The sequence below is a fragment of the Homo sapiens genome, chromosome X (genome assembly GCF_000001405.40).
Source record: "Homo sapiens chromosome X, GRCh38.p14 Primary Assembly".
NCBI lineage: Eukaryota > Metazoa > Chordata > Mammalia > Primates > Hominidae > Homo > Homo sapiens.
The window spans coordinates 65534848-65553571 of record NC_000023.11 but is presented as its reverse complement, the minus strand read 5'-3'; the positions used below and the strand labels follow the sequence as shown (position 1 = coordinate 65553571).

At 47.8% G+C, this 18724-nt stretch overlaps 1 pseudogene across 1 annotated transcript, besides 1 other annotated feature; it reads left to right on the top strand.

Moving 5' to 3' along the window:
- Window positions 1-1150: 1150 nt before the first annotated feature.
- Window positions 1151-2950, top strand: FRMD8P1 (FERM domain containing 8 pseudogene 1; annotated as a pseudogene). The gene has a single exon (NR_033742.1). The product of NR_033742.1 is annotated as an FERM domain containing 8 pseudogene 1 (transcript).
- Window positions 18511-18690: an enhancer, noted in NCBI's record as "active region_29713". NCBI's record gives its function as "activates an Ori minimal core promoter by ATAC-STARR-seq in GM12878 lymphoblastoid cells {active_cell/tissue: GM12878}" and the evidence as "EXISTENCE:reporter gene assay evidence [ECO:0000049][PMID:35858748]".

Sequence of the window (18724 nt, the reverse complement as noted above, 5' to 3'; positions counted from 1 at the left end):
TGTTCTCATGATAGTGATTAGGTCTCACGAGATCTGATGGTTTTATAAAGGGGAGTTCCCTTACCCAAGCCCTCTTGCCTGCTGCCATGTAAGATGTGACTTTGCTCCTCATTTGTCTTCAGCCATGATTGCAAGGTCTCCCCAGCCATGTGGAACTGTGAGTCAATTAAACCTCTTTCCTTTATAAATTATCCAGTCTCGGGTATGTCCTTATTAGCAGTGTGAGAACAGAGTAATATAGAGACCATGCCCCAAACAGCCACCAGCTACCCTATCTTGGTAAACTCCACAGTGTATGAGAGAGGAGAAAAGAGCTCTTCAGCATTGGGGCAGCTGAGTTTTTGAGACCCTAGAATTGGGCCTGATAGGATTACTTTAGAGAAACCAAGGTGAGTGTTTGGAGAAGAGGTCAACATGTGTGTGTATAACTACACTAATAAGGTAGGCATTAATTCTACTGGGACTGATATTTGGGTAGTATGCAGGGATAGAGCTGTACAGGCTGTTAAAATATTTAAAAACTTCTATACTGATTGGTAACACTCTTCACTCGCACCACCACCACCTTGATTCCTTCATGAGAACTCCTCCCCCTAGGACCTCCCCATATAATTCAACAACCAAAGGATTAATGCCTGGCATAGCAGGGGCCTCTAGGACTCTGCTCTAACACTAGGGCCACGAAAGTTTGTAGGTTGTCAGACTCCCTTCCAGGTGTCAAATATTTAGAATATCACCCCTAATTATCTCTACATACCCTGGGGAGAAACCAGGTGCAGAGAGGCCAAGGTCACACAGCTAGTTCTATGGCTGATTGTATCCCTTCAAAATTCGTATGTTGAAGCTCTGACCCCCAGCACCTCAGAATGTGACTGTATTTGGAGACTGAGTCTTTAAATAAGTAATTAAGTTAAAATGAGGCTGTTGGACCAGGCATGGTGGCTCACGCCTGTAATCCCAGCATTTGGGAGGCTGAGGTGGGCAGATCACGAGGTCAGGAGTTCGAGACCAGCCTGACCAACATGGTGAAACCCTGTCTCTATTAAAAATACAAAAAAAAATTAGCCAGGTGTGGTGGCGCATGCCTGTAATCCCAGCTACTCAGGAGGCTGAGGCAGGAGAATCGCTTGAACCAGAGAGGCAGAGGTTGCAGTGAGCCGAAATCGCGCCACTGCACTCCAGCCTGGGTGACAGAGCAAGATTCCGTGGGCTTGGTGGAGGGGCAGGATTCCGGGCAGGAGCCTTGCCTCTCAGGTGGCGGGCTCTGCGACCCTGTGAGATGGACGGGACGGAAGGCAGTGTCGGGCAGCCCGGCCCCACTGAGCGGTCCCACCGAAGCAGCGTGTCCTCCGTGGGAGCCCGAGCGGCTGACGTGCTGGTATACCTGGCAGATGACACGGTGGTGCCCCTGGCTGTGGAGAACCTGCCCTCGCTCCGTGCCCATGAGCTGCACTGCGCCGTCCGCGAGGTCCTGAAGCTTCCGGACATCGCCCTGGATGTCTTCGCGCTCTGGCTGGTCTCCCCTCTGCTGGAGGTGCAGCTGAAACCCAAGAACCAGCCCTACAAGCTGGGACGCCAGTGGCCGGAGCTGCTGCTGCGCTTCACCAGTGCCCCGGACGACGACGTGGCCATGGATGAGCCTTTCCTGCAGTTCCGAAGGAACGTGTTCTTCCCAAAGGGGCGGGAGCTCCAGATCCCCGACGAGGAGGTCCTGCGGCTGCTCTATGAGGAGGCCAAGGGCAACGTGCTGGCTGCACGGTACCTGTGCGACGTTGAGGACTGCGAGGCTCTGGGCGCCCTGGTGTGCCGCGTGCAGCTCGTGACCTACCAGCCCGACTGGCCGGCAGCCTGCGACCTGAGGGAGAAGCTGGACTCCTTCCTCCCTGCCCACCTCTGTAAGCGGGGCCAGGGTCTCTTTGCTGCCCTCCGGGGCCGTGGGGCCAGGGCCGGGCCGGGTGAGCAGAGCCTGCTGAACGCCTACCGCAAGGTGCAGGAGGTCAGCAGCGACGGCGGGTGTGAGGCCGCCCTGGGCACCCACTACCGCGCCTACCTCCTCAAGTGCCACAAGCTGCCCTTCTATGGGTGTGCCTTCTTCCACGGTGAGGTTGACAAGCCAGCCCAAGGCTTTTTGCACCGGGGTGGGCGCAAATCAGTTTCTGTGGCCATCAGCCTGGAAGGTGTGCACGTCGTGGACAGCAGAGAGAAGCACGTCCTGCTGGGCCTGTGCTTCCAGGAGCTGTCGTGGGACCACACCTCCCCTGAGGAGGAGGAGCCCATCCTGTGGCTGGAGTTCGACAGGGACAGCGGGGTCACACCTGTCAACAAGCTCCTCAAGATCTACTCCAAGCAGGCCGAACTGATGAGCAGCCTCATTGAGTACTGCATCTAACTGAGCCAGGCGGCGGAGCCCGCAGGCCCCCAGGACAGTGCAACTGGCTCGCCCTCAGACCTCAGCTCCTCGCCAGCTCCTGTTCAGCGCCCCAAGCTGCGGAGGCAGGGCAGTGTGGTGTCCAGCCGGATCCAGCATCTCTCCACCATCGCCTATGTGGAGGACGGCAAGGGGATCAGGCGAGTGAAGACGAAGAGCACCACGTCCTTCTTCAGCCAGCAGCTGTCCTTGGGCCAGGGGAGCTACACCGTGGTGCAGCCCAGCGACAGCCTGGAGCAGGGCTGAGGACGCTGCACCCCGCAGGAGGAGGGCAACTGGGGGCCCTGGCCCGGCATTGTCCTCCTGAGGAGCAGGGGCTGGCTAACAGTCTCATGGGTCACCACATGGGGAGGGCTGCCTCAGCAGATTTCTCAGACCACGGAGAAGTGACTTTTGCGCCCGGGGCCATGCCCGGGCTGTGCAAAGCTGGCCAGGGCCTCCCACAGGGCCCCTCTGCAGCCTGCCCTCCCTTCCCCCCCTTTCCCCGGATGCTGGGCCCTGCTGCTATCTCAGGACCATCCGATCAAGCTGCAGCTGCCACCCTCACCTAGAAACGTGCCTTTGTGCCCACCTCAAGATGGGCAGTTTCCCCTGTTCTGAAGTGCCTGGTGGCAGCTCCAGTGGCAGAGGATCAAGGATTGAGGTTTGGGACCTGAAGGTCCAGTGTGTGCCTTTGGCCTCTTCCCTGGACTTGAGTGACCAGTCCCCGCCTTCCTCCTGGTAGTGCTCCACTCCCTGGACTTGGATGACCAGTTTCCTGCCTTCCTCCTGCTGGTGCTCCACCCCCCACTGCCAGGCTGGGCCACCACTCTGAGGAGGGTGGGAAGGTCCTCCCTGGATTGAACCCGGACAGAAACATGGTGAGGGCCCCCACCACACCTCCCTGTTGAATCAGGAATGGAGGGAGCCAGGCAGGGCCCTACCTGGGGTCCTGTGCCCCTCGTTCTGGTCTCCTTTGCAGGCACGAGACACCAGAAAGAGCATGCCTTTCTGATAACCTTTGGTGATGTCACTGCTGGAAGGTGGCTGTCCTGTGGACCACCTGGCCTCCAGATCTACACTCACAGTCTGTGAAAAAACTCTTGAAAATCCCCTGGTGGGCACTGCCTGAAGCCCAAGCAGCTCCCCTAGGGGACTGACCAGACCTGCCCTCTCCTCCTGTGTCTGGGTCTTCAGGTTTTAGTTTCGTCTTTGTTCATCTAAGTTGTGCCGGGGCAACGCCAGGAAGTGCCCTGGGTAACCTCTGGTGCTCGCTCCTTCCCAGGCGGCACCATGGCTTCCTCTGGGGGCCGGTGCGTGCCTGGAAAAGCCTGGGCCACACGGGACAGTCTCTCTTTTCTCGAGGACACTTGGAAAGGTGACTGATGTGGGTGCTTGGCTTCTCTGGTCCCAGCTTGCCCTCCAGGGAGCAGGGGCTCTGTCTTGTCGCAGATGAGCTGAGCCCCTGAGAGGAGGGCTTTCCCAGCCCTGGGACCCTCTGAGGTGGGTGTGCAGGTCTCACAGGTGCTTCCTGGGACTTCCTGTGGCAGCACAGGGCTTGGTTTTGTCTTCCGTTCCCAGTGGAAAACCGTGGGAGAGGAAGCTCAGGCCTCTACTCCAAGTATCAGAGCCTGTTCACCCTCCTCCCTTTGGTAGCTTGTGAATGTGCCAGGAGTTTTGAGGTGGGCTTGCCTTCTGGCAGCATGGACTTTATTTGTTAAAATAATAGGCAGAAAGAAGAGGCCTCTTTTGGAATGTCCTGGCCACAGGGTCATGTCAGCTGCCAGTTCTTGTCTCCCGTCCTGGAGTTGCTCTGTCTCACCGAGCTGCCCGCTGGCCTGTTCTGGCCGCTCCAGCGCAGGTTGTCCCTGCTGCTTTGATTCCAGGTGATTTTATTTTTTTTATTTTTTTATGTTTTTTGAGATAGAGTCTTGCTCTGTTGCCCAGGCAGGAGTGCAGTGGCGCATCTCGGCTCACTGCAACCTCTGCCTCAAGCGATTCTCCTGCCTCAGCCTCCTGAGTAGCTAGGATTACAGGTGCGTGCCACCACGCCCCACTAATTTTTGTATTTTTAGTAGAGACAGGGTTTCACCATGTTGGTCAGGCTGGTCTTGAACTCCTGACCTCATGATCCACCCGCCTCAACCTCCCAAAGTGCTGGGATTATAGTCGTGAGCCACCACCCCCAGCTGATTCCAGGTGAATTCTTCTCTGATGGGTGGGTGAGGGTGTGTCCGTGTGATGGGTTGGAGTGTGTGTGTCTGAATACACAGATGATGTGTTTCCCTTCAGCTTCTTACGTTTTCTGAGCATCCATTGTGCCTTAACATTTTCTGCTTGTCCTGTGGGACAAAGCAGTATTTTACTCATTCTTTGAATGTTCTCATTCTTTTGTATCATGTGACTTATTAATAAAGTCAGTTTCTAACAACAACAAAAAAAAAAAACTGAAGCTGTTAGGGTGGGCCCTAATCCAATCTGACTGACATCCTTTTAAGAAAAGAATATAGGCTGAGTGCCGTGGCTCACACCTGTAATCCCAGCACTTTGGGAGGCCGAGGCAGGCAGATCACGAGGTCAGGAGATCGAGACCATCCTGGCTAACACGGTGAAACACCATCTCTACTAAAAAATAGAAAAAATTAGCCGGGTGTGGTGGCGGGCGCCTGTAGTCCCAGCTACTCGGGAGGCTGAGGCAGGACAATGGCGTGAACCCGGGAGTCAAAGCTTGCAGTGAGCCAAGATGGTGCCACTGCACTCCAGCCTGGGCGACAGAGCAAGACTCCATCTCAAAAAAAAAAAAGAAAAAGAAAGAAAGAAAAGAATATTAAGCCGGGTGCAGTGGCTCATGCCTGTAATCTCAGCACTTTGGGAGGCCGAGGTGGGTGGATCATGAGGTCAAGAGATCAAGACCATCCTGGCCAACATGGTGAAACCCTGTCTCTACTAAAAATAGAAAAATTAGCTGGGCGTGATGGTGCATGCCTGTAGTCCCAGCTACTTGGGAGGCTGAGGCAGGGAGAATTGCTTGAACCCGGGAGGTGGAGGTTGCAGTGAGCCGAGATCGCACCACTGCACTCCAGCCTGGTGACAGAGCGAGACTCCATCAAAAGAAAAAAAAAAGAGAATATTGGAAAAGACAGACAGACACACCAGGGATGCATTAACACAGAGGAAAGACCATGTAGAAGACACAGCAAGAAAGTAGCCCTTGGCAAGCTAAGGAAAGAGGCCTCAAAAGAAACCAACCCTGCTAACACCTTGATCTTGGACTTCCAACCTTCACAACTGTGAGGAAATAAATTTCTGTTATTTTAGGCACCAATTCTGTAGCATTTTGTTATGGCAGCCTTTACAAACTAACACAACTAGGTAATAACAGAGAGAGAAATTCATCCCAGGTCTATTTGCCTGCAAGCCCATGCTCTGAGCAGGTCTTGCTTTCTCCATTTATACAATGAAGGGAGCCAGCTCTTATGAGAATCCAGTGAGGGAAAGGATTTAGGATAATATTGAGAGACATGACTCCTCAGAGAGTATTCTTATCTGCCAGGAAAGATCTAAGAGTAGCGCCTTGTGCACGGTAAGTGCTCACAAAATGTGTGTGGAGCTAAATGAGGGTATACCTCAACAAAGGGCCTGAAAGGGAAAAAATAACAAGTTTCCTAACCCTAGAGTGCCCAAATCCCAGAAACTGCTGCTGAAAGCAATTCACTGGAAAGCCTTCACTGAATGATGTAAACTAAGGAGTAGAACTAGGGTTGCCCAATTAACCCACTAATTTATTCTCCATACCCACACACTCACATGAAACAATGCAAGCCCTCCCCTCCCCATACCATACACACTCACCTCAAACTCTGACATACACTTTCACTCACATACAGGTACTTGCAAACCTTACATGAGCTCCCATAGACACATCTTGCCCACACTTTCATATATATTCCACCATAGTCTTATGCCCTACACTCTGATACAAATGCATTTATTCATATATATATTCTCCCAGACACCATAACCTCCCGCCATTCACATATATTCCATATACTCACATACAACTCCACTACAAGCTCCCATATTTTCACATGCATTTCCTTTGTTTACATACACTTACATGCTCACATATACACATATGGATATTTGAACATACATGGAAAATAATCTAGCTGGGCACAGTGGCTCACACCTGTAATCCCAGCGCTTTGGGAGGCCAAGACAGGAGGATCACTTGAGCCTGGGAGCTAGAGACCAGCCTGGGCAACATAGGAAGACCCCATCTCTAAAAATATTTTTAAAAAATTAGCCAGGCATGAGAGTGTACACCTGTGGTCCCAGCTACTCAGGAGGCTGAGGTGGGAGGATCACTTGACCCCAGGTGGTCGAGGCTGCAGTCAGCTGTTATCATGCCACTGCACTCCAGCCTGGGTGACAGAGGAAGACTCAGTCTCAAACAAAACCAAACAAACAACTTATATGTTGGACCTTAAACCCCAAGGTGATGGTATTAAAAGGTGGGAACTTTTGAGAAATGATTAAGTCATGAGGGCTCTGCCCTTGTGAATGAGATTAATGTCCTTATAAAATAGGCTTCAGATAGCTGCCTGGCACTTTTATCTCATCTGCCATGTGAGAACACTGTGTTCATCCCTTTTGCTCTTCTACCATGTGAGGATGAAGCAAGAAGGAGCCATCTCAGATGCAGACAGCAGTCCTCACCAGACACTGAATCTGCCAGTGCCTTGATCTTGAACTTCTTAGCCTCTAGAACTATGAAAAATAAATGTATGTTGTTTATAAATTATCTTGGCCTGCGGTATTTTGTTATAGAAGCAGAAATGAACTAGGGCGCCTTCACTGTTGTTCAGAGATGGAACCGATCACTCCCTCTTTTGCATTCCCTCTGGCTTCTCTTACAGTACTCATATTCAGCCCCGATTTCTACTTATTTAAGGAGCAAAGCCCAGAAATGCTAAACAAATTGCCAAAGAATTCATTGTTAGTAAGAGGCAAAGACCTAGGTTGGGGAGGTGCTTATCTCATTGAGGGCAGGGATTCCATCTGATTTCTTTGTTTTCTTAGTTCCCAACACAAAACCTGGCAAGTAGAAGTGGCTCAGTTTGAAAGGATGGAAAGAAGAGGGATAGAAGAGGAAAGAAAGAGGAAAAGCAAACTTGCTTCTGGGATTAGTTTGGTATTTGGCACTAGTTACCTTCCCTGAAAACTGTCAGACAGAAGGCAGAAGGCACTTTGCAAAGGATCATGAACCAGACCATGTAAGGCACCTCCATCCTAATCAAACTCAGCAAGTTGAAGAGAAGGAGGCAGTAAAGGAAAGTGGAGGATATTCCAAGAGAAGCAGAAAGGCTGAGAAGAGTTTGAGAAAAACAAAAAGACAGATATAATCCTGAGGTGCAAATATAGACTTATTCAGGAGGCCGGGAAAGAGGCCAGGATGTGGTAAGAGGGATGAAGATTAGAAAAAGGCCAAAGATTAGCCAGATTCACATCATGGCCAAAGTGCTCCATGACAAACTTGAGAAAAAGGGCACCAGTCCAGCCCTGGCTTGAGCTTATAGGGGAGTGCAGAACTCATCTAGGATATCAGTTGCTAAATGTGAGGGGAAGGAGAATCAGGAAAATTAAGGCTCAGAGCCTCCCAGCTCAGGCCTATGTAATCACCTCTGCCCTAACTGGTATACCACAGTAGTTGAAGCCAGGGGTCAACTAGCAAAGGCCCAAGGGACATATAACCCAAATAATGAAAGGCTTGAGGCAGGCTCAGAGGACATGGTCAACTCTCAATTATCCACATGCTAGTAAACAGTGGATTATTCACAAGGTTTTTTGTTGTTATTTGTTTTGAATTCAAACCTGATTTTAACCACTTCAACACACCACCTCTTCCTCCTCCTACCACCTTCCCCAGGCAGCCAGCATCCTCTGAGAGGCTGACTGTGACTCCTTCTGGGTCTTGAAGGCCTGTACCTATACCTCGCTGGAGTCAGGGTTCTCAGGGAGGAAGCTTTGGAGCACCTGATCCAAGACCTTCGCCGTCTGCCCATAGAGAACCTGGAAGGGAAAGAAGATTAAACAGTCCTGGAATGGCTGAGGCTCTAGGCTCTCAGTGGGAGTAACCATAGGTGTGGAATGCTGTTATTGAGTTCCTGTCAGATGCCATAAACACCTTTCCTTTTTTCAAGCTTTCCTCACAAATCACCCTAAAAGTTAGCATGTATTAACCACATTTTGCAGGTTGAGGAAACAGACTTAGAAGGGGACGTAATTTCAGCCAAAGTAATAGAGCATTTAAGTAGGAGGTAGATTCTGCACCCACGGTTCCCTGAGTTCTAACTTCATGTTCTTGCCAATATATCTGTTGCTTCTGAAAGACCTTTCAAATCACAGAGAATTATTTCTTTTCTTTAATCAACACATGTAGCAATGTATATTATTTCTTTCTGTCCCTTTACTTTTTTCTCTTTTTTCTTACCTTTCATTTTGTTCTTCTACTTTATTTTTCTTCTTGCCAGCCTTCCATTATTTTCTCTGTCTTCTTTCCTCCCTTACTTTCTATGTACATTTGCTTCCTAATATGGAGGATCCTGCTGTAAGAATTGTGGAAATCAATCAGCTCATAACCCCTGTTTTCCAGGAGTTCCCAGTAAAGCACCTACAGATACAAATTCACATGTCCACAGGATCACACGGGATATAAATAAATTCACCCCATTGCTTCTAGTACAGCATAATAAAAAGAGAACTTGGGTTGGAAATCTGGGTCTCAGTCTCTGCTTTGTCACTTACAGTATGACCTTGGGAAAATCACATTACTTTCTTGAGCCTCTGTTTTCTTATCTAGAAAATGGAAACAATAAAACTTGGTCTACAGGCTTCACAAAGGAGCTTCAAGGCTGGGCGTGGTGGCTCACCCCTATAATCCCAGCACTTTGGGAGGCCAAGGCAGGCGGATCACCTGAGGTCGGGAGTTCGAGACCAGCCTGGCCAGCATGGTGAAACCCTGTATCTACTAAAAAATACAAAAAAAAAAAAATATTAGCTGGGTGAGGTGGCAGGAGCCTGTAATCCCAGCTACTCAGGAGGCTGAGGCAGGAGCATCACTTGAACCTTGGAGGCAGAGGTTGCAGTGAGTCGAGATTGCACGATTGCACTCCACCCTAGGCAACAAGAGCAAAACTCCATGTCAAAAACAAACAGAAAAATTAGCCGGGTGTGGTGGCACATGCTTGTAATCCCAGCTACTAGGGAGGCTGAGGCAGGAGAGTTGCTTGAACTCAGGAGGCAGAGGTTGCAGTGAGCCAAGATTGTGCCACTGCACTCCAGCCTGGGTAACAGAGCGAGACTCTGTCTCAAAAAACAAACAAGCAGACAAAACACACACACCCATACACACACGAGAAAGATAAGAAGATATAAATAAGGAAGAAAGTGTTATGTAAAGCATCCAGTCTGTAGTAGAGAAGTAATAAATGATAGCTCCTTTTCCAATACCATGATGCTTCTTGTATCATTAATTGAGCTGGAGTTGGCCTGGCATGCTGGCTCATACCTATAAACCCAGCACTTCGGGAGGTCAAGGCAGGAGGATCGCTTGAGTCCAGGAGTTCATGGCTAGCCTGGGCAACATAGTGAACCCCATATTGAAACCACTGTTGCAAAATTATAACAGAAAATTGTTACAGTGAAAGAGATCTGACCTAACCAACTCCATCTTGCTTCTAACCTCCAAACTGTCCTTGTTCATTCCTGGGCATAGGCCGAACTAACTTTGGGAGGAACTTGGTTTACAGTTTAACTTTGGAACAAAGATGATAACTACCCTTTCCCAAAACAAATCCCCTTCCTGCCTGGGGACTAGACTGTTTTCGTAGGACTAATAAATTAGCCACAAGATTAGAAATTATGGTTTAGGGCCGGGTGCGGTGGCTCATGTCTGTAATTCCAGTACTTTGGGAGGCCAAGGCAGGTGGATGACTTGAATCAGGAGTTAGAGAACAGCCTGACCAACATGGTGAAGCCCCATCTCTACTAAAAATACAAAAAATTAGCTGGGCATGGTGGCATGTGCCTGTAATCCAGCTACTCAGGAGGCTGAGGCATGAGAATCGCTTGAATCCGGGAGGCAGAGGTTGCAGAGAGCCGAGATCCTGCCACTGCTCTCCAGCCTGGGCGACACAGCAAGTCTCTGTCTAAAAAAAGAAAGAAAGAAAGAAAGAAAGAAAGAAAGAAAGAAAGAAAGAAAGAAAGAAAGAAAGAAAAGAAAGAAAAGAAATTATGGTTTAGGAGTCATGGAGCTAGAGGCTACAAGATTCTGACCCTCCTCAAATTGCTCCTGGGAAGCAATAACATCACTATTGTAAAACCTGTGAACCCTGAATAGCTGAGACAGGTCCCAGTCAATTTAGAAAGTTTATTTTGCCAAGGTTAAGGACATGTGCACCAGTGAAACAGCCTCTGAAGGTCCTGACGACATGTGCCTAAGGTGATTGGGACACAGGTTGGTTTTATACATTTTAGGGAGACATGAGACATCAATCAATACATGTAAGATGAATAATGGTTCGGTCCAGAAAGGTGGGACAACTCGAAGCAGGGAGGGGGCTTCCAGGTAATAGGTAGGTAAGAGACAAATGGTTACATTCTTTTGAGTTTCTAATTAGTCTTTCCAAAGGAGGCAATCAGATATGCATTTATCTCAGTGAGCAGAGGGATGACTTTGAACAGAATGGGAGGTGGCTTGGCCGGACAAGGTGGCTCACGCCTATAATTCCAGCATTTTGGGAGGCCGAGTTGGCGGATCACTTGAGACCAAGAGTTCAAGGCTACAGCAAGCTATGGTCACACTGTAAGTGCCCAATGGGTTCTACTTGCCTGCTGCCCAGATAGAGCCATTTTATCAAGATAGGAGAATTGCAACAGAGAAAGAATTCAATACACGTAGAGCTAGCTAAACGGAAGACCTGAGTTTTATTATCACTCAAGTCAGCCTCCCTCAAAATTAGAAGGCTAAGGTTTTCAAAAGGAGAGTTTGATAGGCAGAGGGCTAGGGTAAGGATCCTGCTGATTGGTTGGAGATGCAATCATAGGAGTGTGGAAAATGGTCCTTGCATGTGGAGTCCACTTCTGGTTGGGGGATCACAGGGGAATTGCTGGTCTGACTGGGGCCATGCAACAGTCAGAAATGCAAAAGCCAGTTGGGCACGGTGGCTCAAGCCTGTAATCCCAGCACTTTGTGAGGCCAAAGCCAGGAAATTGTTTGAGCTCAGGAGTTTGAGACCAGCCTAGGCAACATGGTGAAACCCCATCTCTACCCAAACACAAAAAGGTAGTCTGGTGTGGTGCTGCATGCCTGTGGTCCTAGCTACTCTGGAGGCTGAGCGGGGAGGATCACTTGAGCCCAGGAAGCAGAGGTTGCAGTGAGCTGAGATGGCACCACTGCACTCCAGCCTGGGTGACAGAATGAGATCCTGTCTCAAAAACAATAAAATAAAATAAAATAAAATAAAATGAAATAAAATAAAATAAAATAAAATAAATGCAAAAGCCTGAAAAGACACCTCAAAAGGCCAATCTTAGGTTCCACAATAGTGATGTTATTTACAGGAGTAATTGGGGAAGTTGCAAATCTTGTGACCTCCGGAATAATGGCTGGTAATCATTTAATTATACCTACATCTTAGCGGAATTCAGGGTCCTTTCATCCTCCTAACTTGGAGGTCTTTCATTAGTTTTACAAAGGTAGTTTAGTTTTGAGAAGGGCTATTATAATTTAAACCATAAAGTAAATTTCTCCCATAGTTAGCTTGGCCCACACCCAGGAATGACCACCGACAGTTTGTAGGTTAAAGGCAAGATGGAGTGGGTTAGTTCAGACCTCTTTTACTTTCACTGTCATAATTTTGTTACTGCTATAATTTTTTTGCAAAGGCGCTTTTAGCACCACTATACTGTAGCCTGGGTGACAGAGTAAGACCCTGTCTCAAAACAAACAAAAAAACAAAGGCTGAGCTCAGTAACTTACACCTGTAATTCCAGTAATTTGGGAGGCCTAGGTTTGTGGCCAGGAATTTGAGACCAGCCTGGGCAACAGGGTGAGACCCTATCTCTACAAAAAACTAAATAAAAAATTAGCTGGGTGTGGTGGCATGCATACCCAGCTGGTAGGTGGGGGTCCAGTCCTAGCTGTTTGGGAGGCTGTAGTGGAAACATCTCTAAAGCCCAGGAAGTTGAGGTTGTAGTGAGCTATGGTGGCCTTACTGCACACCAGCCTGGGTCACAGAGCGAGATCCTGTCTCAAAAAACAAAAGAATACAAAACAACAACAAAAAAAAAAACTTTTTTTTTTTTTTAAGACAGAGTCTTGCTCTGCTGCCTGTGGTGGAGTGCAGTGGTGTGATCTCAGTTCACTGCAACCTCCGCCTCCCAGGTTCAAGCAATCCTTGTGCCTCAGCCTCCCAAGTAGCTGGGATTACAGGCTCGCGCCACCATGCTTGGCTAATTTTTGTATTTTTAGTAGAGACAGGGTTTCACCATGTTGTCCAGGCTGGTCTTGAACTCCTGACCTCAAGTGATCCACCCGCCTCGGCCACTCAAAGTGCTGGGATTACAGGCGTGAGCCACCATGCCAGGCCAAAAAACAAAACTTTGAAAAGCTATTTAAAGCCTACTATTTCAGGAAAAGAGTCTAGGGATTTATTATTCCAACAAGATAAGTTTCCAGTTTATAAGACCCCTTCTCTTCTATGTAAGGGATGGAAACAGAGAGACCAGTTAGGAAGACAGTACAGTGATCCAGAGAAAACCAAGGCCTGAATTAGAACAGTGGCCATGAGAATGTAAAGAAGAGGACTGATTAAAAAGATAGTGGGTAGATTATGTAGTTTTGGGGGAGGGTGGCACCAAGGGTGCGGGAGAAGATGGAACAGTGGAAGTGAGTGAGGAGGTGAAGTAGTGGAGAATGATAATACTGTTACAGGACCCCACCACTTACCCAAAGTTAGCTTTTGGGTAGGGGGTTTCCTCACCATAGTCCCTTTGGGGTTTGCCAGAAAGATGTTACAGGAAAGGGGTCCAGATCCAGACCCCAAGGGAGGGTTTCTGGATCTCGTGCAAGAAAGAATTCAGGGCGAGTCCATAGAGTAAAGTGAAAGCAAGTTTATTAAGAAAGTAAAGGAAGGCCGGGCGCGGTGGCTCACGCCTGTAATCCCAGCACTTTAGGAGGCCAAGGTGGGTGGATCATGAGGTCAGGAGATCGAGACCATCCTGGCCAATATGGTGAAACCCTGTCTCTACTAAAAATACAAGAATTAGCCAGGCATGGTGGCGGGCGCCTGTAGTCCCAGCTACTCGGGAGGCTGATGCAGGAGAATCGCTGGAATCCAGGAGGTGGAGCTTGCAGTAAGCAGAGATCACACCACTGCACTCCAGCCTGGGTGACACAGGAGACTCTGTTTCAAAAAAAAAAAAAAAAAAAAAAAGAAAGAAACAGAAAAAAAAGAAGAAAGTAAAAGAATAAGACAATGGCTACTCCAGAGACAGAGCAGCCCTGAGGGCTGCTGGTTGCCCATTTTTTTATGGGTATTTCTTTTCTTTTTTTTTTTTTTTTTTAGAGACGGTGTCTCACTCTGTCACCCAGGCTGGAGTGCAGTGGCTTGATCTCGGCTCACTGCAACCCCCACCTCCTGGGTTCAAGTAATTCTGCTGCCTCAGCCTACCAAGTAGCTGGGACCACAGGCGCATGCTGCCACGCCTGGCTAATTGTTTTTTTCTTGTTTGTTTGTTTGTTTGTTTGTTTTTGTATTTTAGTAGAGACAGTGTTTCACCATGTTTCACAGGCTGGTCTCGAATTCCTAAGCTCAGGCAATCCACCCGCCTTGGCCTCCCAAAGTGCTAGGATTACAGGTGTGAGCCACTGCACCCAGCCTGATTATTTCTTGATGATATGCTAAACAAGGGGTGGATTATTCATGCTTCCCCTTTCTAGACCATATAGGGTAACTTCCTGACTTTGCCATGGCATTTGTAAACTGTCATGGCGCTGGTGGGAGTGCAGCAGTGAGGAAGACCAGAAGTCACTCTTGTGGCCGTCTTGGTTTTGGTGGGTTTTAGCCCGGCTTCTTTACTGCAACCTGTTTTATCAGCAAGTTCTTTATGACCTGTCTTCTGTGCTGACCTCCTAATCTCATCCTGTGACTTAGAATGCCTTAACCATCTGGGAATGTGGCCCAGTAAGTCTCAGCCTTATTTTACCCAGCCCCTATTCAGGATGGAGTTGCTCTGGTTCACATGCCTTTGACAATACGATTAACAATATAGGCTAGGCTGGGCATGTGGCTCACACCTGTAATCCCAACACTTTGGGAGGCTGAGGTGGTTGGATCACCTGAGTCAGGAGTTCGAGACCAGCCTGGCCAACATGGTGAAACACTGTCTCTACTAAAAATACAAAAATTAGCCAGGCGTGGTGGCATGTCTATAGTCCCAGCTACTTGAGAGGCTGAGGCAGGAGAATCGCTTGAACCTGGGAGGTGGAGGTTGTGGTGAGCTGAGATCATGCCACTGCACTCCAGCCTGGGCGACAGAGCGAGACTCTGCCAAACGAAAAAAAAAAAAAAAAATATATATATATATATATATATATATATATATATATATATATATATGTATATATATAGCTTAACAGCTGTAAGTGCTTACAGTGTGTCATGCACTCTTCTAAGAAGTCCCTCCTCCCTCCCCCACCCCCTCTTCTTTCCTTTCTGAGACAGAGTATCCCTCTTTCGCCCAAGCTGGAGTACAGTGGCACGATCTTGGCTACATAGTCCTAAACACATTTTAGCCAACCTGTAAAATCAGAAGGACTTCACTGCAACCTCTGCCTCCAGGGTTCAAGCCATTTTCATGCCTCAGAATAGCTGGGATTACAGGCGCATCACCACACCTGGCTAATTTTTGTGATTTTTTTTAGTAGAGACAGGGTTTCGCCATGTTGGCCAGACTGGTCTTGAACTCCTGGCCTCAAGTGATCCACCCTCCTCGGCCTCCCAAAGTGCTGGGATTATAGGTGAGAGCCACCACACCTGGCCAATGCTCACCTCTTTTAATCCACATACCAGTCCTTTGAGACTATTATGCGAGCACTATTAATAAGTGCTCTTATTATTTCCGTTTACAGATGAAGTAAACGAGGCATAGAAAAGTTAAGTAACTTGCTCAAGGTTTCAAATAGTAAGTGGTGAAGACACAATTCAAGCCCAAGCTACCTGAGTGCAGGTACTGAGGTTCAGATGACTCTGTGAATACTGTTGCCATGTATTGAATGATATAGGAGGAGGGACAGATTTTGGGGGAAAGTATTTAAGATTTAGACAGGTTGATATTGGGTTGCCTGCGGGATCACATGAGTGCAGCAGACAGTTGATTAAATGTGTCTGGAGTCCCACAGAAAACTCAGCTAGAGACTTGAAGAACATCAACATATAGGTGTTTGCTTAGCCGGGGCCACAGGACTGCTCTAGGTGAACTAGATACACAAAAGTGGACGTTGGGGTGAAGTGAGGGGGAGGGAAATGGTGAAATAATGAAGGGGAAGCAGTAGCTTGAAGATACATTTGATTAACTTCAGGATTTCACAGACAATGCCTTGGACTTGGAGATTTTATTTAATTCGTGCCCACTGGCACTGCTAGGAGTGTCCTACGTCACCACAAGCCTAGGGATTCTTAGGATTCTTGAGCATGTGCCAGGACAGATCCATATTCCCTGTGGTAAGCTGAAACAATTGTCCCCCAAAAGATACTCACATCCTAATCCCTACAACCTATGAATGTTACTTTATGTGGTTAAAAGAAAAAGAAAAAAGAAAGAAAAACATTGGACTTCATTGTAATTAAAGATCTTGAGATGTGGAAATTAGCCTGCATTATCTGAGTGGACTCTGCCACCACATGTATCCTTTTAAAATGGAGGCTGGGGGAGACTTTACAAACACAGAGGGGAAGATGGAGCAGAGAGAGATTTGAAGATGCTGGTCTTGAAGTTTGGAATAATGTGCTCCAAGCCAAGGAATGCTAGCAGCCACTAGAAAAGACAAGGAGTGTATTCTTCCCTAGAGCAGCTGGAGGAATCATGAACCTACCAGTACCTTGATTTCAGCTCAGTGATACTGTTATCAAACTTTTGGCCTCCAGAACTACGAGAAAATAAATGTCTGTTGTTTTAAACCACCAAGTTTGTGGTAATTTGCTATAGCAACAACAGGAAACTAACGCAGTGCTTCTTCAAAATTACCACTATTTGACACACTTCGTCCACTAATTCCTAATTCTCAATAGGTCTCAGGCCCCATTTGCCACATATTAGACATAATGCTCTTGTTACATGCTTTGGTCATGTTTTCTTAGAACACACGGAATAGAGAGAACTTCAGCTTTATGTGGATGGAATGGGGATAAATAGGGGTCTTTGCCTGAAAAGGACTATGCAAAATTTTTAGCCTATAAACCCCAAAATGTGTGTGAATGATTGCCGCAGATCTGGCAGCTCCTCTGACTGGCCTGTATCTTGAGGAGTCATAGAAACCACTCCCCAGACTTCTTTGCCAGCACACTGTCATGATCCTGAAGGAAAAAGGGTATCTGGTTTCAGGCAGACACCTGGCCAACTGGTTGGCATGGCTACTTGGGACAGAGTAACTGTCAGTCAAGAACCATAGGCAGGCCGGGCACGGTGGCTCATGCCTGTAATCCTAGCACTTTGGGAGGCCTGGGCTGGTGGATCACTTGAGGTCAGGAGTTCCAGACCAGCCTGGCCAACATGGTGAAACCCTGTCTCTACTAACAATACAAAAATTAGCCAAGCATAGTGGCAGGCGCCTGTAATCCCAGCTACTTGGAAGGCTGAGGCAAGAGAATCACTTGAACCCTGGAGGTAGAGGTTGCAGTGAGCCGAGAATTGTGCCACTGCACTCCAGCCTGGGCGACTGGGCCAGACGCCATGTCAAAAAAAAAAAGAAAAAGAAAAAAAGAAAAATAAAATAACTATAGGCAGACTATATCTTAGGAAAAGTTGGCTGGAGAAAGAAGCACATATAGAGGATGAATTGGGATTTGTTGCTGTGAAGCGTAAAAGTGCCACTCACAGCAATGCTGTTAAGATCGTTAGCAACAGTTCTCTCTCTCTCTCTCTCAAGTGTTACATTGGAAAATAACTTCTGCAAGAAGGATTGGGACATAGTCCTAAACATATTTCAGTCAACTCGTAAAATCGGAGGAACTTCATAATACCGCTTTTCTCCCAGAACTCCAAAATACCAAGGAATTTTGCAGAAAAACTAAGTATACCTTGGTGGATGTTGAAACCAACATAGCAGTGGAATGTTGGCAGAGTAAAATTCTACAATTTTCTGCTATGACAGAGAACCTAGAGACCAGTCTACAACTCTCACTGTACAGATGGGAAAACTGAGACTAGTCTAAGTCCACATAGTTAGTGGCAAAATTTAGAGTAAAACTCAGGTCTCTAGGCTGGTATTTATTTATTTATTTATGTATGTATTTATTTAATTTACTTTTGAGACAGAGTCTCGATCTGTCACCCAGGGTGGAGTGCACTGGTGCGATCTTGGCTTGTTGCAGCCTCCGCCTCCCGGATTCAAGCGATTCTTGTGCCTCAGCCTCCTGAGTAACTGGGATTACAGGCATGTGCAACCATGCTTAGCTAATTTTTGTATTTTTACTAGAGACCGGGTTTCACCATTTTGGCCAGGCTGGTCTGGAACTCCTGACCTCAAGTGATCCGCCCGCCTGGGCCTCCCAATGTGCTGGGATTACAGGCGTGAGCCACCACGCCTGGCCAGGCTGGTACTAATTTAAAAGGCAGGGCCCCTGGTTACCTGCCACAAAAGCAGATTTTTTCAACCCAACTGTAACTGTTTCGATATGAGATATTTCCTCTGTAGCCCTGCTTCAGTGTCCAGTGTTTTACTAGGTTAGGTCCTGATTCACGGCAATAAAAATATACTTAAAATCGCATTTTCAGTTCACTGGATGACTACAATCAAGCTGCCACCCGCCGAGGGGAGCAAAATAAAATTCCTCTTGCAGTGAAGACATACCGCTTCCGGTCTGGTACAGAAGCCGGTTAGCAACCAGGAAATTGGCGGAACCTAGAGGCTGAACTCTTGCCCCTGGAGGGTTTGCTTTGTGAAAAGAACACTTCCGGCCGGTGAGTTTTTAACCCCGCATGTCATTAGGTCGGCGCCCAATTCTGACGTTCCGATTGGCCATGCTGACGCTG